Consider the following 17,964-nt stretch of genomic DNA (forward strand, 5'->3'; position numbering starts at 1 on the left):
TATCCACTCTTCCTTTGTAAAAAAAAAAACAAAAACAAAATGTCAGTATTCACACTTCACACTTCAACAAGAAAAAGCTTGTTCTCTCTTCTATTAATAAAAGTGCTATTTTCTTGCCTTCAGATTAATACCATTTACTGTTTAGGTTCTTATTGATCTCCTGGCTCCTTTTACCTTAAATCTTTGATTTTTAAGCAGATGCAGGCTAGCATACTTTTTTTAATAGAGTGTAATGTCCATAGCCCTTACCATTCTGCCTTTCCCATTTTTTCCCTTTGTCATTTTTCCAAGGGCATAATACCCTCCTGCTGTATAACACTTGGCTACTCAGGGTACCCCACTATGAGAACAATAGGCTGACCTTTTCCAGTCTACTTCAGAACATCTTTGTTCTGTACCCTGTCTCTGAGGATTTTGCCTCTGGGTCATAATAAGTTTATTAATCTTCAGAGACTTAATCCTCCTTATGAGCTGGTGTATATCCATTTTAATAGGAGTCTTCTGGAGAAAAGACTGTAAGAGAATGAAATTTGCTTAGTTAGTGGAAGTTACCCCACAGAAGGTGGTAAGCACACAGCCCCTGGAAGTGTTTCTGATCAGGAAGTTAAAAGATTCCTGATCCCTTCCAGTTCTGAAAAATTCATGAGTGACTCTAATGGTGGGAGTTTGAAGCACTTTGGTAAGCCAGTTCCAGCGTCTCCGCACACCGTCTGTTTGTGGCTCCATTCACCCTGCCTCCATGATACAGACGATTCTTTCCCAGTAGTTGCCACTAGCCCATCACTAAGACTGTCTAAGAGCATTTTCTTGGCAAACCACCATTCTGCATGAAAGGAGAGTCTAGGATTGGGGAAAGTGGATTCAACAGCTTATACAGCCAGAGTATATTAATTGTGAGCTTTGCACCTTGGTAATAATTATGTATACAATAAACAAAATCACATGGTTGCTAAGCAACACCTTTCCCTCATTCTTGACCCCAGTGGAGGTATGAGATATTCGACCTCTGGACTTAAAAAATCTTAAATTCTGCTCTGCTTGCAGACATGCTTTAGTGGCCCTGGCAGTAGCAGCCTCTTATTTCTGCCCTGTCCTTACCTCCCTTGGCTTGAATCTTGCCTTCCATATCTCCATGAACCCAGCAGCCTGGATGTTCTTTCAGGATAACTAATGTCAGACTAGGTACTCTTCAGGCTCCTGTGGGGGTCCCCTGTGCACTGAAGTCTCACACCAGGAGCAGCTTCACCTAAGCCTAAGGTGGATGCACATCTAGTCTTCCTCTAGAGGAGAGGCTTTTCCTCTGTAGAATGATGAGGGCGCAACAGATCCTGGGTCTAATGTGAATAATAACATATTTATCTCATAACAAAATGTGACTTGTTGAAGAGTTCCACATTTGGGATATGTTTTCTGTGTGTGTAGAAATTGAGATGATTTGGAGACTATTTCTTTGCTAATAGTAACGATTGTATTATTACTTACAGCAGCGGTCCCCAACCTTTTTGGCACCAGGGACTAGCTTTGTGGAAGACAGTTTTTCCATGGATGGGGGTAGAGTGGGGGTAGTTTCAGGATGAAACTGTTCTGCCTCAGATCCTCAGGCATGCGTTAGATAGAGTGCACAACCTAGATCCCTTGCATGCACAGTTCACGATAGGGTTCACTCTCCTATAACAATCTGATGCTGCCACTGATCTGACAGGAGGTGGAGCTCAGGTGGTACTGCTCGCTCACCTGCCCTTCACCTCCTGCTGTGTGGCCCAGTACCTAACAGGCCACGGACTGTTACCTCTCCATGTGTCCATGGCCTGGGACTTGGGGACCTCTTCCTTTCAATTAAAAATAAATTGTCCTTTTACTCTCATGAGAAAGAGAGTTCTTACTAAATTTACCTCCCTTTTCATAGAGAATTTTTTCTCCTTCAGGTTTTTTTTAATTGAAAGGAAGAGCTTTTTATCGAGAAAAATCAATACCTTTTAGGGTACTAAAATTGTTTTATATTCATTTCCAGTCTTTCCTAAGGCTTTGTAATCATTTGTGGTAGCCTCTAATATATAAATAAATTATAGCATTTTACCTTTCATCTTTTACCTGAATTATAACCATTTAAATAGATATGATAGCTGTTTTCTTGAGCAGTCTAGGATTTTCTGGTTCTTCTTGAACCTGGGACTTAATAACATAATAGGCAAAGGAGAGAGAAGGAGATAGGTAGTGGAATATTAACACGAAGTTATTTTCTGCTTAAGGAATGAATGAAGGACATATATTACAACTGTGACATTCAGTCATTTCTTTTTCTTTCTAGAAGGTAGTAAATTTATAAGAGTGGTAAGCCAAGTATAATGGCTCACGCCTGTAATCCCAGCACTTTGGGAGGCTGAGGCAGGTGAATCATTTGAGATCGGAAGGTCAAGACCAGCCTGGCCAACATGGTGAAATTCCATCTCTACTAAAAATACAAAAATTTGCCAGGTGTGGTGGTGGGCACTTGTAATCCCAGCTACTCAGGAGGCTGAGTCAGGAGAATTGCTTAAACCTAGGAGGCAGAGGTTGCAGTGAGCTGAGATTGTGTCACTGCACTCCAGCCTGGGCAACAGAGCATGACTCCGTCTCAAAAAAGAAGAAAGTGGTGGGAAGGGATGCTGTTTGCTTTAACTGTCAGGTTGGAGGAGGGAATCACTTTAAATGGACTTGGAGAAAACATAAATGAATTTCCGTTTTCTTCATTGAACATGTTCTCTTATTTTGTTTCCCCTCTGCCTCTCTCTGAATCTACCCTAGTTGATATATTTTCCTATGCTCCAGTTTTGTTCTCCTGAGGGCTCTTCCATCCACTGTGGCATGAAGGGTAAAAGCCACAAAGATCTTTTCTTTGGCCGTGTCATCTCTTCATTCCCTGTTGGCTTACCCTGTATGTGTTTTCTATTTGCAGGTCTGTGGCTGTCCTCTCTATTGGAAAGCCCCCATGTTCAGGGCTGCAGGGGGAGAGAAGACAGGATTTGTGACAGCACAGTCATTCATTGCCATGTGGAGAAAGTAAGTATGTGAGCAGTCTCTCTGGAGCTAGGCAAAGAATTGTGTGACCCTCATGACATGCTTTCTAAAGGTCACCTATTTTACTCATTTATACATTTTCCCTTTACTCTTTATATCAACAAGGAAAATTCAATGATTTACAACCATTTATACTCACATACAAGTTCTTTGCCACAAGCCTTTATCTAACCTCTTTAAAAAACAGTAAAGCAGATCTGCAGAAATCTTTCTTTAAAAACTATTTGATAGTTTATTAGTTTTACTTGGTTTTTCTTGTTTTTTTTTTTGTTTTTTTTTTTGTTTTTTTTTTTTTGAGACAGAATGTCACTTTTTTGCCCAGGCTAGTGTGCAGAGACCTAATCATAGCTCACTGCAGCCCCAAACTCTTGGGCTCAAGTGATAATCCTACCTCAGCCTCCTAAGTAGCTGGGACTACAGGCAGGCACCACCACACCTGGCTAATTTTTATAGAGACTGGATCTCACTCTGTTGCCCAGGCTGGTCATAAACTCCTGGCCTTAAGCAATCCTCCCAGCTCGGCTGCCCAAAGTGCTGAGATTATAGGTGTGAACCCCACACCCAGCCACTTTTACTTGTTAAATTTGGGTCTCAGGATTTGAATCTGGCAGCAGTGAAATAAGCAAAAAGGAACTCCCCTTTATGGGGGGCAAATCAGATGTGTCACATGGGAAATACATTTTCATTCCCATAGATCCAATTTAGAATTATATATAGTTGATTTGTTAGAAATACTGAATTCTAATAGATTTTAATCATTACCTTTTGAAAGCTCCAGTTAAGGAACTGAAGGACTAGTATATTTATCAAGCTTTTCCTGGATTCTAACATTCTGACAAATTTTCTTGAATTCAAACCCAACATCTTTCTTCTTTATCTCTTTTTTCTCCCTTCTTTCTTCTTTAGGAGTTATTTTTTGGTATATTTATACATCTTAGCTAAGTATCACAGCTTGCCCCTTCTGCCTCTTTTAACTGATCAGCACCCTTGTTATGCATGTTCTTCTCGCCTTTTCTGAGCTAAATATCCTTCCTGGTAAACTATTGGGAAATGCTACTCACCTATTGTTATTATTATTTAACATCAACCTATAATAGCAGCAGATTGAACAGACAGATTCTTTCTAATTTCTTCATTTCAGCTAAAAGCCCTTAATAGGATAATGCTTGAGAATATAGTAGGTGATTAATAAATGTATTCTTATTTTTAAAAATCTAGCAGCAGGTCAAGTTCAAGTTCTTCATACATCACATTAGAACTAAAGAGTCTATGTTGGTGGAGGGTATTCTCATAAGTGAGAACTGAACAATGAGAACACATGGACACAGGGAGGGGAACAGCACACACTGGGGCCTGTTGGGGTGGGGTGAGGGAAGGGAGAGCATTAGGAAAAATAGCTAATGCATATTGGGCTTAATACCTAGGTGATGGGTTGATAGGTGCAGCACACCGCCACAGCACGTGTTTATCTATGTAACAGACGTGCACATCCTGCGCATGTACCTTGGAACTTAAAAATAAAAAAATTTTTTTAAAAAGAGTGTATGTTGGTGGATAGATCATAGCCACCACCACAATAGCTGTATTTTATTCAGATGAATTGTTTAAATTTTATCTGTAAGGAAGACATTTCTGCAAAACGCAAAAAGCGGGGGAAAGACATGAAGTACAAGTCTCCATTTTGGTTAACTGCAGGAAAATTGCTTATGAAGTTATATAGCATGAGCAACTATCCCTGTCTTTTTTTCATCAGAAAAATTCTATGAATAGATAAGTGTGTCTCTAAATTAAAGTGTTATTTTACAGTCAGATATTAAAATGGTTTGAGTGCCCTCTAGTGGAAACTCCTCTTTGAGCTCTTAAAATGTCTTTTAAAAGCCAGGGTGCTTGAAGGGAGCCCCAAGTGTGGCTATTTTGGGAGACTAAGCAGCTAAACATGGTGGTGTGAGTTACCACGTTGACCTTGGAGAAGACGTGTTTAGTTTTGTAATTTTTTTTTTTTGTAACATTTGCATAAAGCAATGTGGGCTCAAGTATAGTATATTAAAACTTTCAAATAAAAAAATTGCTAACAGGTAATTATACAGAATTAAAACATTTTGGAAAATACATATATATGCTGATTTGCTCCAGTAGCTCTACATAATCTTAAAAAAAAAAAGAGTCAAATATAAAAGTCATAAGAATATAGGGAAATGGCCGGGCGTGGTGGCTCACGCCTGTAATCCCAGCACTCTGGGAGGCCAAGGTGGGCAGATCCCGAGGTCAGGAGATCGAGACCATCCTGGCTAACACAGTGAAACCCCATCTCTACTAAAAATGCAAAAAATTAGCCAGGCAAGATGGCGGGCACCTGTAGTCCCAGCTACTCAGGAGGCTGAGGCAGGAGAATCGCGGGAACCCAGGAGGCGGAGCTTGCAGTGAGCCGAGATCGCGCCTCTGCACTCCAGCCTGGGTGACAGAACGAGACTCCATCTCAAAAAAAAACAGAATATAGGGAAATAATTTCTCTCATGTCAGACTGCTCATGGGGTGGAGGCCTCAGTATCTCTCCTCCAAAGGGCTCTGTTCCACTTCCTTTCCCTGTGCCGCTGCCCATTTCATGTCTATACTCTGACATATATTCTTCTTATAGTCAGGACATTTTTAGGAGAAAGACATTGCTCCATAGCATTTCTTTTTGAGGTCCTAGAGTATCAGCTTTTGGGCAGAACTCATCTCAAATGGAATCAATAATATTGCTTCAGCTTTATTATGCTTTACTTTCTTTTACCTTTTCATATCAATGTATCATTTGTCCATTAACAAAATAACATTTTGTCCTAAAAGTTCTGAAAGATGCTAGTTTAGAATAGCTATGCTTACCTTCATTCTTTAGCTTTCATGACTTTTATCATCTTTTCTCCTGCCATAGAGTTGACCAGCCAGTAACACTGGCAGAAAATTGTAATTCACCTTTTCTTTCTATTTCACAGCAAAAGACCATTTCTGATTTCACTTTGTCCTCTCAGAGTAGCTCTCATCTGTCATGTCTCTGCTGTTTTTATATCTTACTATTCTGTTTTATATATATAAGTAGTTCTTTTGAAAGACCTCACTGTTTTTCTATTGTGATCATCCCACCCATTTTCTAATCCTGAGAGGTGGCTCCTATTAGCATCTATTGCGTGAATCTTTTTCTGAAACATGTGTTTATTTAACTTTAGGAGCCTTAAGCATGTTGAGGAATGTTATGGAGAATAAGTATAAAAATCATAGTATAGCTCTAATAAGCACAAATGAAGTATACATCTGTTTGATCAAAAACATTTTCTTATTTTTCTTCCTTAATCACTTGTTGAATGCTAACTATATGCCAGGTATTGTGTCTGGTCTTGAGGGCGGTTGGGATACAAAGAAAGTAAGACAGTTTTATACCCTGTAAGGAGCTTACAGTCTAGTGAAAGAGTTACACCAAGCCATGTGTGCTGGCTTGCACCTGTAATCCTAGCTACTTGGGAGGATCGCTTGAGCCTAGGAGTTTGAGGCTGCAGTAAGCTATGATCATGAGACTGCACCACAGCCTTGACAACAGAATGAGACCCTGTCTCAAAAAAAAAAAAAAAAAAAAAAAAGACAAGGATGTTAAGATGGCCAAGAAGACACAGCCAGGGAGAGCTTCTCTTTCCTACCAAGAGAAACCAAAATATTGAGTAAACCAGCATACTTTGAACAGACCTTTTAAGAGAAAGCACTGAGAGTCAGTGGAGAGATGATGCAGTCACTGAGGCTGAAGAGGGAGGAAACTGAGAACCCTGCATGGGCTCTGAATGGCTCCTAAGGAAGGGGTGAAAGAAGTAACTGCAGAGCAGGCCACTGTCACTGTGGACATCTGGGATTCTAGCTGCAAGAGATCCCACAGCCACCATGGACGTTTGAGTTGGCAGGGAAAACTGCTTGGAGAGCTGGCAGAGACAGAGCTCGAGGCTACACAGAGCCCATGGGGTTTTGCATGGGAACAGCTGCAACAAAACACAACCATAGGCACCTATCCCCCAAGGCTCTCCATATTCCTCTAAGAGGCTCTAACCTTTGTTGACTGCCAGACCTGGAGAGAGCAGGGCTGTCTTTCCCACAGGACCAGGGCGTATCTGATCCATGCACTCCCCTGTCCACCAGCCCCTCCCAGGGCTCCTGTCTGGCTTCTCCCATAGGAGCAGGCACACAGCACAGCCTCCACTCCCCTGCGAGAGCGCTTTTGCCAGTGGCCCCCAGTGGAGCGCTTTTACTGGTGGCCTGGGAGCACCTTGGCTCACCCAGCACAGCTGGTGCTCGACCTCAGGGAGCCAGAGAACTAAGCTACAGGCCTGGTCCCAGGCCCCCAGGGTTAGAGCACACAGTCCAGGAGTGCCAAGCTGAGACTTGTGGTTGGAACTCAAGTGGCGGAAGAGCCCTTACTCTCAGAGCACTGGGAAAAGTGAGGTATGGATTAATGGGCTGGCACAGGAACTGGGCCACAACCTCTACCCAAGGGAGCCTGGCAGTCTGGAACACCTAATAGCCCAGTGATCTGGGTGCAGAAGTCTTGTGACAAACTAGCTGGTTGGGCCAAATTCTGGGCAGTAACCAGGAGACCTGTCAAGGAAGCACAAGCTGGGAAGTTCTCACTGCTATCTGCTGGCCAAAAAAACCTAGGCTGTGGGCACCACACCAGCTGCACGGCCAAGGCAGCATCACCCTACCCAGGGATCCCTCACCCTTGACCTACTGCATGAACAGACCACCCACAGACATACCCCTAACCTGCAGTCTACCTGGTAGCCCTTACTATTAAATGCCATCTCCCAGGTTACAGCTTGAATTACAGCACCAAAAAATTCCAGCATGAATTGCCTGAGAAAACCCAGTACAGGATTCTGGCCACAAATAAAGATCCCATACAGGCCAGGCACAGTGACTCATACCTGTAATCCCAGCACTTTGGGAGGCCGAGGCAGTAAGATTGCATGAGCCTAGGAGTTCAAGACCAGCCTAGGTAACATGGCAAGACTCTGTCTCTACAAAAAAATTAGCCAGGCATGATGGTATGAACCTGTGGTTCCAGCTGCTTGGGAGGCTGAGGCAGGAGGATCACTTGAGCCCAGAAGGTTGAGGCTGCAGTGAGCTGTGTTCACGCCATTGTACTCCAGCCTTGGTGACAGAGCCAGGCTTTGTCTCAAGAAAGACAGAAAACTGTAATCCCAGCACGTTGGGAGGCCGAGGCAGGTGGATCACCTGAGGGTCAGGAGTTTGAGACCAGCCTGGCCAACATGGTGAAACCCCATCTCTACTAAAAATACAAAAAATTAGCCGGGCATAGTGATGGGCACCTATAATCCCAGCTACTCCGGAGGCTGAAGCGGGAGAATCATTTGAACCTGGGAGGCAGAGGTTGCAGTGAGCCGAGGTTGCGCTGTTGCACTCCAGCCTAGGCAACAAGAGTGAAACTCCATCTCAAAAAAAAAAAAAAGAAATCCAGAAGAGATTCCATACAGAGCCTTGGCCCTCTGAAAGCATGCAGAAATAAAGCCAATTGGCTATACTCAGCTTGCACCACAGTCAAACCCTCAAGGGAAATAAAGTAAAAACAAAAAAGCTCCATCCAAAGGACAAAGGACAGCAACATCAAAAGATAAAGGAACACCTGCCCTCACAGATGAGAAGGAACCAGCACAAGAACTCTGACAATTCTAAAACCCAGAGTGTGTTCTTACCTCCAAATGATCTCACTAGCTCCCCAGCAATGGTTGTTAATCAAATTAAAGCAGCTGAAATGACAGAATTCAGAATCTGGATGGTAAGAAAGCTCAATGAAATACAGGAGAAAGTTGAAACTCAATCCAGGGAAAACAGTAAAATGATCCAAGAGTTGAAAGATGACACAGCCATTTTAAGAAAGAACCAAACTGAACTTCTAGAATTGAAAAATTTACTACGGGAATTCCATAATACAACTAGAAGCATTAATAACAACAGATCAATCTGAGGAAAGAGTCTCAGAGCTCAAAGACCACTCCTTTGAATCAATGCAGGCAGACAAAAATAAAAAAGAATTTTAAAAAATGAAAACTCTCAGAAATATGGGATTATGTAAAGAGACCAAACCTATAACTCATTGGCATTCCTGAGAGAGAAGGAGCGAGAGTACGCAACTTGGAAAACGTATGAGGATATAGTCCACGGAAATTTCCCCAGTCTCACTAAAGAGGTGGACATGGCTGAACTCCATGGAGCAGTTTGGAGATTTCTCAAAGAACAGAGTTTACATTTCAATCCAGTAGTTCTATTACTGGGTATATACCCAAAGAAAAATAAGTCATTCTGCCAAAAAGACTTATGCACCCATATGTTCAATGAAGCACTGTTCACAATTGCAAAGACATGGAATCAACATACATGCCCATCAATGGTGGACTGGATAAAGAAAATGTGGTACAGGTACACCATGGACTACTAAGCAGCCGTAAAAAAGAATGAAGTCTTGTTCTTTGTAGCAACATGGATGCAGCTGGAGACCATTATCCTAAGCAAATTCGCAGAAACAGAAAACCAAATACCATATGTTCTCACTTGTAAGTGGGAGCTAAACATCAAGTACACATGGACATAAAGATGAGAACAGGCCGGGCGTGGTGGCTCACGCCTGTAATCCCAGCACTTTCGGAGGCCGAGGTGAGTGGATCACGAGGTCAGGAGATCGATACCATCCTGGCTAACACAGTGAAACCCCGTCTCTACTAAAAATACAAAAAAAAATTTAGGCAGGTGTGGTGGCGGGTGCCTGTAGTCCCAGCTACTTGGGAGGCTGAGGCAGGAGAATGGCGTGAACCCAGAAGGCAGAGCTTGCAGTGAGCTGAGATTGCGCCACTGCACTCCAGCGTAGGCAACAGAGCGAGACTCCGTCTCAAAAAAAAAAAAAAGATGAGAACAGTAGACACTGGGGAATACAAGAAAGGGTAGGGATGGAGGGAGCAAGGGCTGAAAAACTAGCTATTGGTACTATGCTCACTACCTGAGAGATGGATTCGTTCATACTCCAGACCTCTACATCACTGAGTATACCTTTGTAACAAACCCGTACATGTACCCCTGTACCTATAATAAAAGTTGAAAAAAAAAAGTTATTCCAATAAGGTTATGCTATTGTGGAACAGCCATGACAGAAATAATAAGCACATGGAAGGACACAGGAGGCCAGCAAGAGTTCCTGGAAGGTGAAGTAAGGGAAAAGGGTATTGTGGTAAGGACGGTAGCATTTACAAATGCCTGGTGTGAGAAGGCATGGAACATTTGTGCAACCACAAGTGCAGGAATGGTAAGAGAAGGGGACATGAGCAGGTAGGATCAGATTCTGGAGGCCCTTCTATGTCAGGTCAAGAAGCTAGGACTTTAGGCCAGGCGCCGTGGCTCACGCCTGTAATCCCAGCACTTTGGGAAGCCGAGGCAGGCGGATCACAAGGTCAGGAGATCAAGAACATCCTGGCCAACATGGTGAAACCCCCGTCTCTACTAAAAATACAAAAACTAGCCAGGCGTGGTGGCATGCGCCTATAGTCCCAGCTACTCTGGAGGCTGAGGCAGGAGAATTGGTTGAACCCAGGAGGTGGAGGCTGCAGTGAGCTGAGATTGTGCCACTGCACTCCAGCCTGGGTGAAAAGAGCAAAACTCCGTCTCAAAAAAAAAAAAAAAGCTGGGACTTTAGCCTACTTGACAGAAGAATTTTAATTTGGACAATGACGTGATCAAATATGTTACTCAGAAATATCAAGCAACAAACAAGAGCCTAAGCATGGATATTGGCAGTGGGAGACAGAAAGAGGCAAATTTGGTAGAAATGAAACAACATGGTAGTTGATAGGTGTCGGGGTAAAAGGAAGGGAGAAGTTCATGACGACTCCCAAGTTTCTAGCTTGAACCATTGGGTGCTTGGAATACTAGATGAGGTTACTGGAGTCCTGAGGAATGTTTCCTGAAAATGCTTTAGACAGCTGTTCCTTCCTGTTTCCGTTTTACCATCAAGGTCAAGGCCTTATTACTTCATGCTGAGACCCCTGGAAGGGAAGAGGGTCTAATAGACTTCAGTACTCATCCAACCTTATAGACAGCTCATCATTCTAAAACATCCTTTGATTATGTAAATTCCTTACTTGATTGTTGATCTGAGTGGCCTTCAGATCAAACTGAAATTACTAACTATTGATGTTATTGTCATTGTTTGTTCAGAGGAACTAATCTTCCTAAGCAGTTGTTTCTTTTATAGGTTGCTGAATAACCATCATGATGATGCCTCTAAATTCATCTGTCTTCTAGCAAAGCCCAACTGCAGCTCTCTAGAACAGGAGGATTTCATCCCTCTACTTCAGGTAATTTTCATCTCCTTTTGAAAATGGGTTCTAATTTTGGAGTTTCAGCAGTTTTGTTTAAAATTTACAACTATAACATGTCAATTGAGCTACACAGATCTAGATATCAGATTCTAGAAGAGTGGTTTTCAAACTTGTTTTAGCAGTAAGATCCTCTCGTTAAATGAAATCTCGTTAAATGAAATCTCGTTAAATGAAATCTAAAACAGAACCCATAGTAGTAAAAGAGCTACTCCTTCAGGGCTACTCCCACTGAAGCAGAGGAGAGGGGCCACTCATCCTCCCCCTTGCCCACCCACAGCAATCACTGAAGCACCTTCTGAAATGATAGAATGCAAGAAGATAACTTCTCTGTTAGCGTAGAACATAGCTAAGAACCTGGTAGAAAGAAAGAAAAGGTCATGATGTAACCAGGATCACTCTCACGAACTCTGGGGTCTTCACTCACTGCCTCCTGACCCATTATTTAAGTACAGTTTTTAAATGCTTGGTTTCCTGATTCTTCAACCCAAGATATATTTGAAACAGAAAATTAGAATAGGAGAAGGGAAAGAGGATAACTAGAATCAAGTGCATGGAGAGCTGCAAAAAACAGACTACACCACCAGACTACAAAGGTAGTGAGGAGAGTAAGAAACACTAAGAGAAAAAAAAGACCCAGAAGCTCTAAATGTACTCTAGTGTGGGAGTAATTTAGGATAATGGCAGTAGTCCCAATCCCATTACCAGATTTCAGCTGAGATTAGTAATTTATTTTAGTAGCATAGACTCTATATGTACTTATCTAGAAAACTCATTTATAGGGAGCAGCTTTCACTGATGGAACCAGATAAAACAATGGCACTGTACTTCTCATTTTTCCTTTTCTGTGTATGAAATTTTAAACTCTGTGTGTTGTATATCCATATATTATACATGTAAAAAAAGGATAAGTCTCAGACCTGAATAAACGTCAGATCTATCAGAAGTATAAGTTTCTGGATTTGAATTTCTAACTTTAGCCTTCGTTTACCAGGTTGGCGGATATTTTTAACCTCAGACCTTCCTGAGGTTTCTCAGCCTGGAGCTGTGCCACAGTTCTGAGGTCTTACACGGTACCAAAGCATTAGGGTTGGGAGTTACTGCTGAGACATCAGCCATCTTTGGCTAGCAGATTCCCTTCAGATCCAGAGGTCTTTGCTGCTTCTGTGCCACGTGTCAAGCCCCAGAACCTTTGGTGAAGATACCCATGGCCCGTCTGCCTAGATGCACACACAGCTGTTTTCTTTTAAGGTTTTAGCTGCACCCCTAGGGTGTTGCCAGGCAGCAGGGTCCCTTTGCTCCTATCACCCACAGACTTCTCTTTCTTTTTCCTGACACTAAGAGGTCTTCTACTCTGCAGAAATCTCCTGCTGCCATGTTCCCTTATGCTTTCCTATCTCTGCCTTCAATTCTCCTTGCTTGTATTGTCTGCTTCCCTTTCAAGTAGGGGTGAGCTCCCTACTCACTACTTCAGGGCAGAGAAGAGAAGTGACCTCAAAATCTTCATGGCTTTTATGGCACTGTGCGTATTGTAGGCTTAAATGCAGGGTCCACAGTCATTTGGCCTAGTTGACCTTTGTTAAGGTTTTAGAGAGAGAGAGATGTCTAACAGAAAGAGCCCACCTGGGGAGTGTTTCTATCTAGGCCTTCCCATGGGAATCAGTTACATATCAGTATTGCACCTGTTTCTACTATAGCATTCTTCATAGCCTGAGATATTGCTTGTTAATATTCTTGTTTTCGTATCTAAATATTTGGTTTTTCTAAGCAGATCACAAATTCTTTGAAGCTAAGATAAGCTTTTCCTGCCTGTTGAATGTGCATCATTATTTTAGGTGTTACAGTAAATCCTTGTTAGCTCTTAGTATGGATACCTAAAGAAGGGCATAAAATACATGGAAATAGTTGAGGTTTTTTTAAGTTGTATTCATGGCTGCCATGTTTTGTTGTTGTTTGTTTTTTTGGAGACGGAGTCTCGCTCTTGTCGCCCAGGCTGGAGTGCAATGGTGCGATCTTGGCTCACTGCAGCCTCCGCCTCCTGGGTTCAATTGATTGTCCTGCCTCAGCCTCCCAAGTAGCAGGGATTACAGGCACCCACCACCACACCCGGGTAATTTTTGTGTTTTTAGTAGAGACTGGGTTTCACCATGTTGGCCAGGTTGGTCTCGAACTCCTGACCTCCGGTGATCCACCTGCCTCAGCCTCCCAAAGTGCTGGGATTACAGGCATGAGCCACCACACCTGGCCATGCCATGATTTTTTAAAAAGATTTTTGCTGAAATATAATCACACAAAACACCCAAATCACAGGTGTCCTAGTCAATGAATTTTCACAATGTGGGCATATCCGTATAACTAGCACACAGATCCAAAAACAGTATTACCAGCACCTGCAAAGCCTGTCATGCTCCATCCCAGTCACTGCCACCCAACAATAACCACTACCCTGACTAATAACACCATAGTACATAGACTTTTAATTATAGTAACAATCTTCCATGTTTAAAATGTGAAGTTTGGTTCTGATTTTATTTTATGCTCAGGGCCCTTGGGCTTGTCTAATTTGCATAATGGCTTTGATTATCCTTAGACTCACCTGCTACATGGTTTTGTTCCCCTAAAAAAAATACTCATGAGAATGAAGATTCTTAATAGTTTTTGGCATTTAATTAAGACCATTTTACCTGATAATATCCAACATTAAATATTCCTATGTTTTGTGAAATCTCAAATCTTCAATATTTGAACTGCATTGTAATAAAACATTAGGTTTTATTACCAGTTCTCTACTGCTCTCCATCCTCACTCTCTCAATCCATTCTTGGCCTTGCTCTGACCCTACAAAGTGCGTCTTTGGGGCTCTCTTGCTGACTAGCTTTTGGTTGGATCTGGGCAGTGGGAAGCATTGCCAGTAAATGGGAGGACAGAGGAAAGAAAAGCTGGCATTTCTTCCCTGCTCTCTGCCTCGGCACAGTAACTATGTCTCTCTACAATACAGCTTCTGCTGGACAGCCCCTTGTCTGTGGTCCTAGTGCCTACTAGGCTCTCCTCCTCCCCTTGTTCCTTTGGCCCTCAGGACTATAACAGTATCCTCCTGTCAGTAGTCTCTGGGTGCCTCATTATTCCCTTGTTTGCTCCCTTCATCCTGCTCACAACTCCACATGTAATCTTTTCGTGAAAGCTTCATACAGTGAATTCTTTTTCCTGTGGGGACCCTATGCTGACTGATGCAGTTCTGAATTTTATCAGAGCTTTAATAAAAGCTTTGACAGGAATGTAAATTAAGTTTAGACTAAGAAAATTAGAAACAGACAACAACAAAATCATAATTATGAGTTAACAGACATTTATACTTCCCTTAAATCTAAGGAGAAATCTTATTTGTATTTAAGAAGTGGACTTGTGGAGTCTTCTGGTAAAAGAGACAAACTAAATAGAGACATTATCCTCCCATTCTTTCCCAAGCCCTTCTGAAGTTAAAGTGTAGAAATTAAAAAGGAATAAATCCACGGAAGCCAATGAAATGGTAGAGAAAATCAACGTACAAGAAATCTTAACATATTTCTTTAAGATAGAAAGTGACCACATGTCTTGTGGGACTGTGGATGGAGCTGGAGGCCATTATCCTTAGCAAACTAATGCAGGAACAGAAAACCAAATACCACATGTTCTCACTTATAAGTGGGAGCTAAATGGTGAGAACTTATGAAAACAAACAAGGAGACAACAGACACTGCGGTCTACTTGAGGGTGGAAGGTGGAAAGAGGGAGAGGAGCAGAAAAGATAACTATTGGGTACTGGGCTTAATACCTGTACCTGTAGTGAAATAATCTGTACCACAAAGCCCTGTGACATGAGTTTACCCATGTAACAAACCTTCACATTTACTCCCAAACCTAAAATAAAAGTTTAAAAAAGATTCTGTGATCTTAAAATTGTAAATAAATAGTTTAATAATAAATGGATTTATATGGATCAAAAAAAAAGAAAAAAAAATAAGTGACCAGAAGTAGGCTAAGAAAACCACAACCCAGAATCAGGAGCTGTGTGTGGGCTCAAGTGGTGAAGTGAGCTCCTGTGCTCATCAAGGCCCAGAGCAGTTGTAAATTCAGGACTGACTGACCCAATGAGAGATACTGGAAATGGGGATTCACTGAAGGTCGGTATACACAACAATCACTAGTTGACTCCTTTCCTGGTTCACAAATATAAAGTGCAGCCTGACATTTATTCACAAGCATAAACACACTAACAAGACAATAAAGCATGCTAAGGCTTCTAATGTGACAGCCACAGATTAAAATTCTCCTTATTTCTCTTTATTCTGGCAGTTGGAGATCCCGGGAGGTCTCACCAGTTTACTCTAAAATAATGCCTGTCAATCAACACACCCACCCTAAATGCACAGAACCCCGAGGCAGATTTGGTACTCAAGAAAGATACCTGTTGAAAAATAGACCTACTTATATTTCCACAGAGGAAAATTATATCAAATTATATCAACTACCTTGTCCTTCTTAAACATGAATGGACAACCAGGTATATGAGGAAAATGATCATCATTAAAGAAAAATAAAGGTTAAAAAAACACATACACAGAAAAAGTAGCCCAGAAAAGAAACAAAACTAATTCAGGAAACAGAAGAAATGAGAATTTTTTTGGGGGGGAAATAAACGTGGTGTTTTATTTTCTGGATTATAAAGTGAACAAATACTTAAATACTATTATTTCTTTACCCAGTGCTTTTTATTTCTAAGCACTTTTATTTTAAAAATGTGAATTATATAATTCCCCCTACACACATACACATACACCTATAAGCACATTAAATACTACTTTGCCATGACAGCTCGGTATACTTCACAATTCTTTTTTTTTTTTTTTTTTTTTTTTGAGTTGGAGGCTCGCCCTGTCGCCAGGCTGGAGTGCAGTGGCACGATCTTGGCTCACTGCAACCTCCGCCTCCCGGGTTCAAGCAATTCTCCTTCCTCAGCCTCCCAGGTAGCTGGGATTACAGGCACGCGCCACCACACCCAGCTAATTTTTGTATTATTAGTAGAGATGGGGTTTCATCATGTTGGCCAGGATGGTCTGGATCTCTTGACCTCGTGATCCGCCCACCTCGGCCTCCCAAAGTGCTGAGATTACAGGCATGAGCCACCGCGTCCAGCCTACTTCACAATTCTTAACGCTATTCTATGTGGAATACAAAATGCCTTTTTATCTGAATTAACATGCATTTAAAAATATTTAGTATATGTGAAAATAAAGGAATTATAAATCAGTAGGAAAGATGTTCAGGTAAAGGCATCATCAGTCAGCTCAGTAGATGTTGTCTACATTTATTTTCTACCTTTGTAAAACAAGAACCTGCTAACAGTCTTAGGTAAATGGTAAAGTAACATATTTTTGCCCTGATGCCATTGGTCAGAATGCCATGAGATAGCTGCTGTGTGTTTAGTCTCAATTTCCTGTTTGCAAAGAAATGCATTAATTCAGTTTTCTACTCACTATATAATTCGGTTGTAGGGATATAGATATCTCATTTGAGTTCTCTGAGTTTTTTATCTTTATATCTAAAAATTTAATCTGAAAATAGTAAAAGCAGAAAACACTGATTTAAAACCTTAAAATGCTACTGCTCAGTGCATGTAATAAAAGTTAATGTTTATAAACATTTCAATATTTTAAAGTATATTTCCTTAACTTCAAGAATTTTGACTTTGCTTGCTACAAGGCTTTTTTCCTCAAAGATTCCTTTTAGGCTTACTTTGGTGTTCAGGATCTCCAGTTATAAATATAGAAGAGATGACTGTGCAAGATAAAATTAAAAAGCCAGACATACTTTCTATCAAGCTGCGTAAAAAGAAACATGAAGTACAAATGGATCACAGACCTGAGTCTGTTGTGTTGGTGAAAGGAATCAACATCTTTACATTGCTCAATTTTTTGATCAACTCTAAGAGTTTAGTTGCTACCTCAGGTCCACAGGTAGGACTTCCTCTGACCCTCTTATCCCCTGTTGCTCTCCGAGGTGCCATAATGCAAATGCTTAAGGCACAAAGTGTAAATGTGAAGACACAGCTCTTTCTGGATACAGAGACCAGTTTAGTTTGGAGATTACAGGTTCTATCGTGCCTCATTCTCTGCATTCACTGACCATGCTGCTCAAATCTTCACAGAGCGGGTCTTTCTCTGCAGTACTGTATCCACACGAGCCAACTGCTGTATTTAACACCTGCCTGCCAATGGACAAAGTACTTGATACAGAGGTTGTTCATAAGGAGCTTACTAACTGTGGTTTGCACCCTAAGACTCTGGAGCAACTTAGAGAAATACCACTACTTGGGAAATCATCTTTATGGAATGTGGTGATGAGAATTTTTTAAAAACAAATTGCACATACTGATATAAATAAATGATTGGGGAGAAGAAACAAATCTATGCAGAATTGCAAACAGTTTAGTAGACACTGCAGTCTTAAAGAGGGGAGCGTAAATCAC

General features: G+C 41.6%; 1 protein-coding gene and 1 pseudogene across 9 annotated transcripts in view; both read left to right on the forward strand.

Moving 5' to 3' along the window:
• PPP2R3A (protein phosphatase 2 regulatory subunit B''alpha) overlaps nucleotides 1–17,964 on the forward strand; it is a 182,167-nt gene that overhangs the window by 72,196 nt on the left and 92,007 nt on the right. For all 9 annotated transcript variants that reach the window (XR_001740196.3, NM_002718.5, XM_017006787.3 and 6 more), the window contains 2 exons: nucleotides 2,936–3,039; nucleotides 11,336–11,438. Coding sequence is in view for 8 of the 9 variants with exons in the window: in NM_002718.5 (NP_002709.2) it covers nucleotides 2,936–3,039; nucleotides 11,336–11,438 (207 nt within the window). In the remaining variant the exon portion in view is untranslated. The remainder of the gene's footprint in view (nucleotides 1–2,935; nucleotides 3,040–11,335; nucleotides 11,439–17,964) is intronic.
• On the forward strand, nucleotides 17,264–17,841 carry DONSONP1 (DONSON pseudogene 1; annotated as a pseudogene).

This window comes from Homo sapiens, chromosome 3 (genome assembly GCF_000001405.40).
Source record: "Homo sapiens chromosome 3, GRCh38.p14 Primary Assembly".
In the NCBI taxonomy this organism is placed as follows: Eukaryota; Metazoa; Chordata; class Mammalia; order Primates; family Hominidae; genus Homo; species Homo sapiens.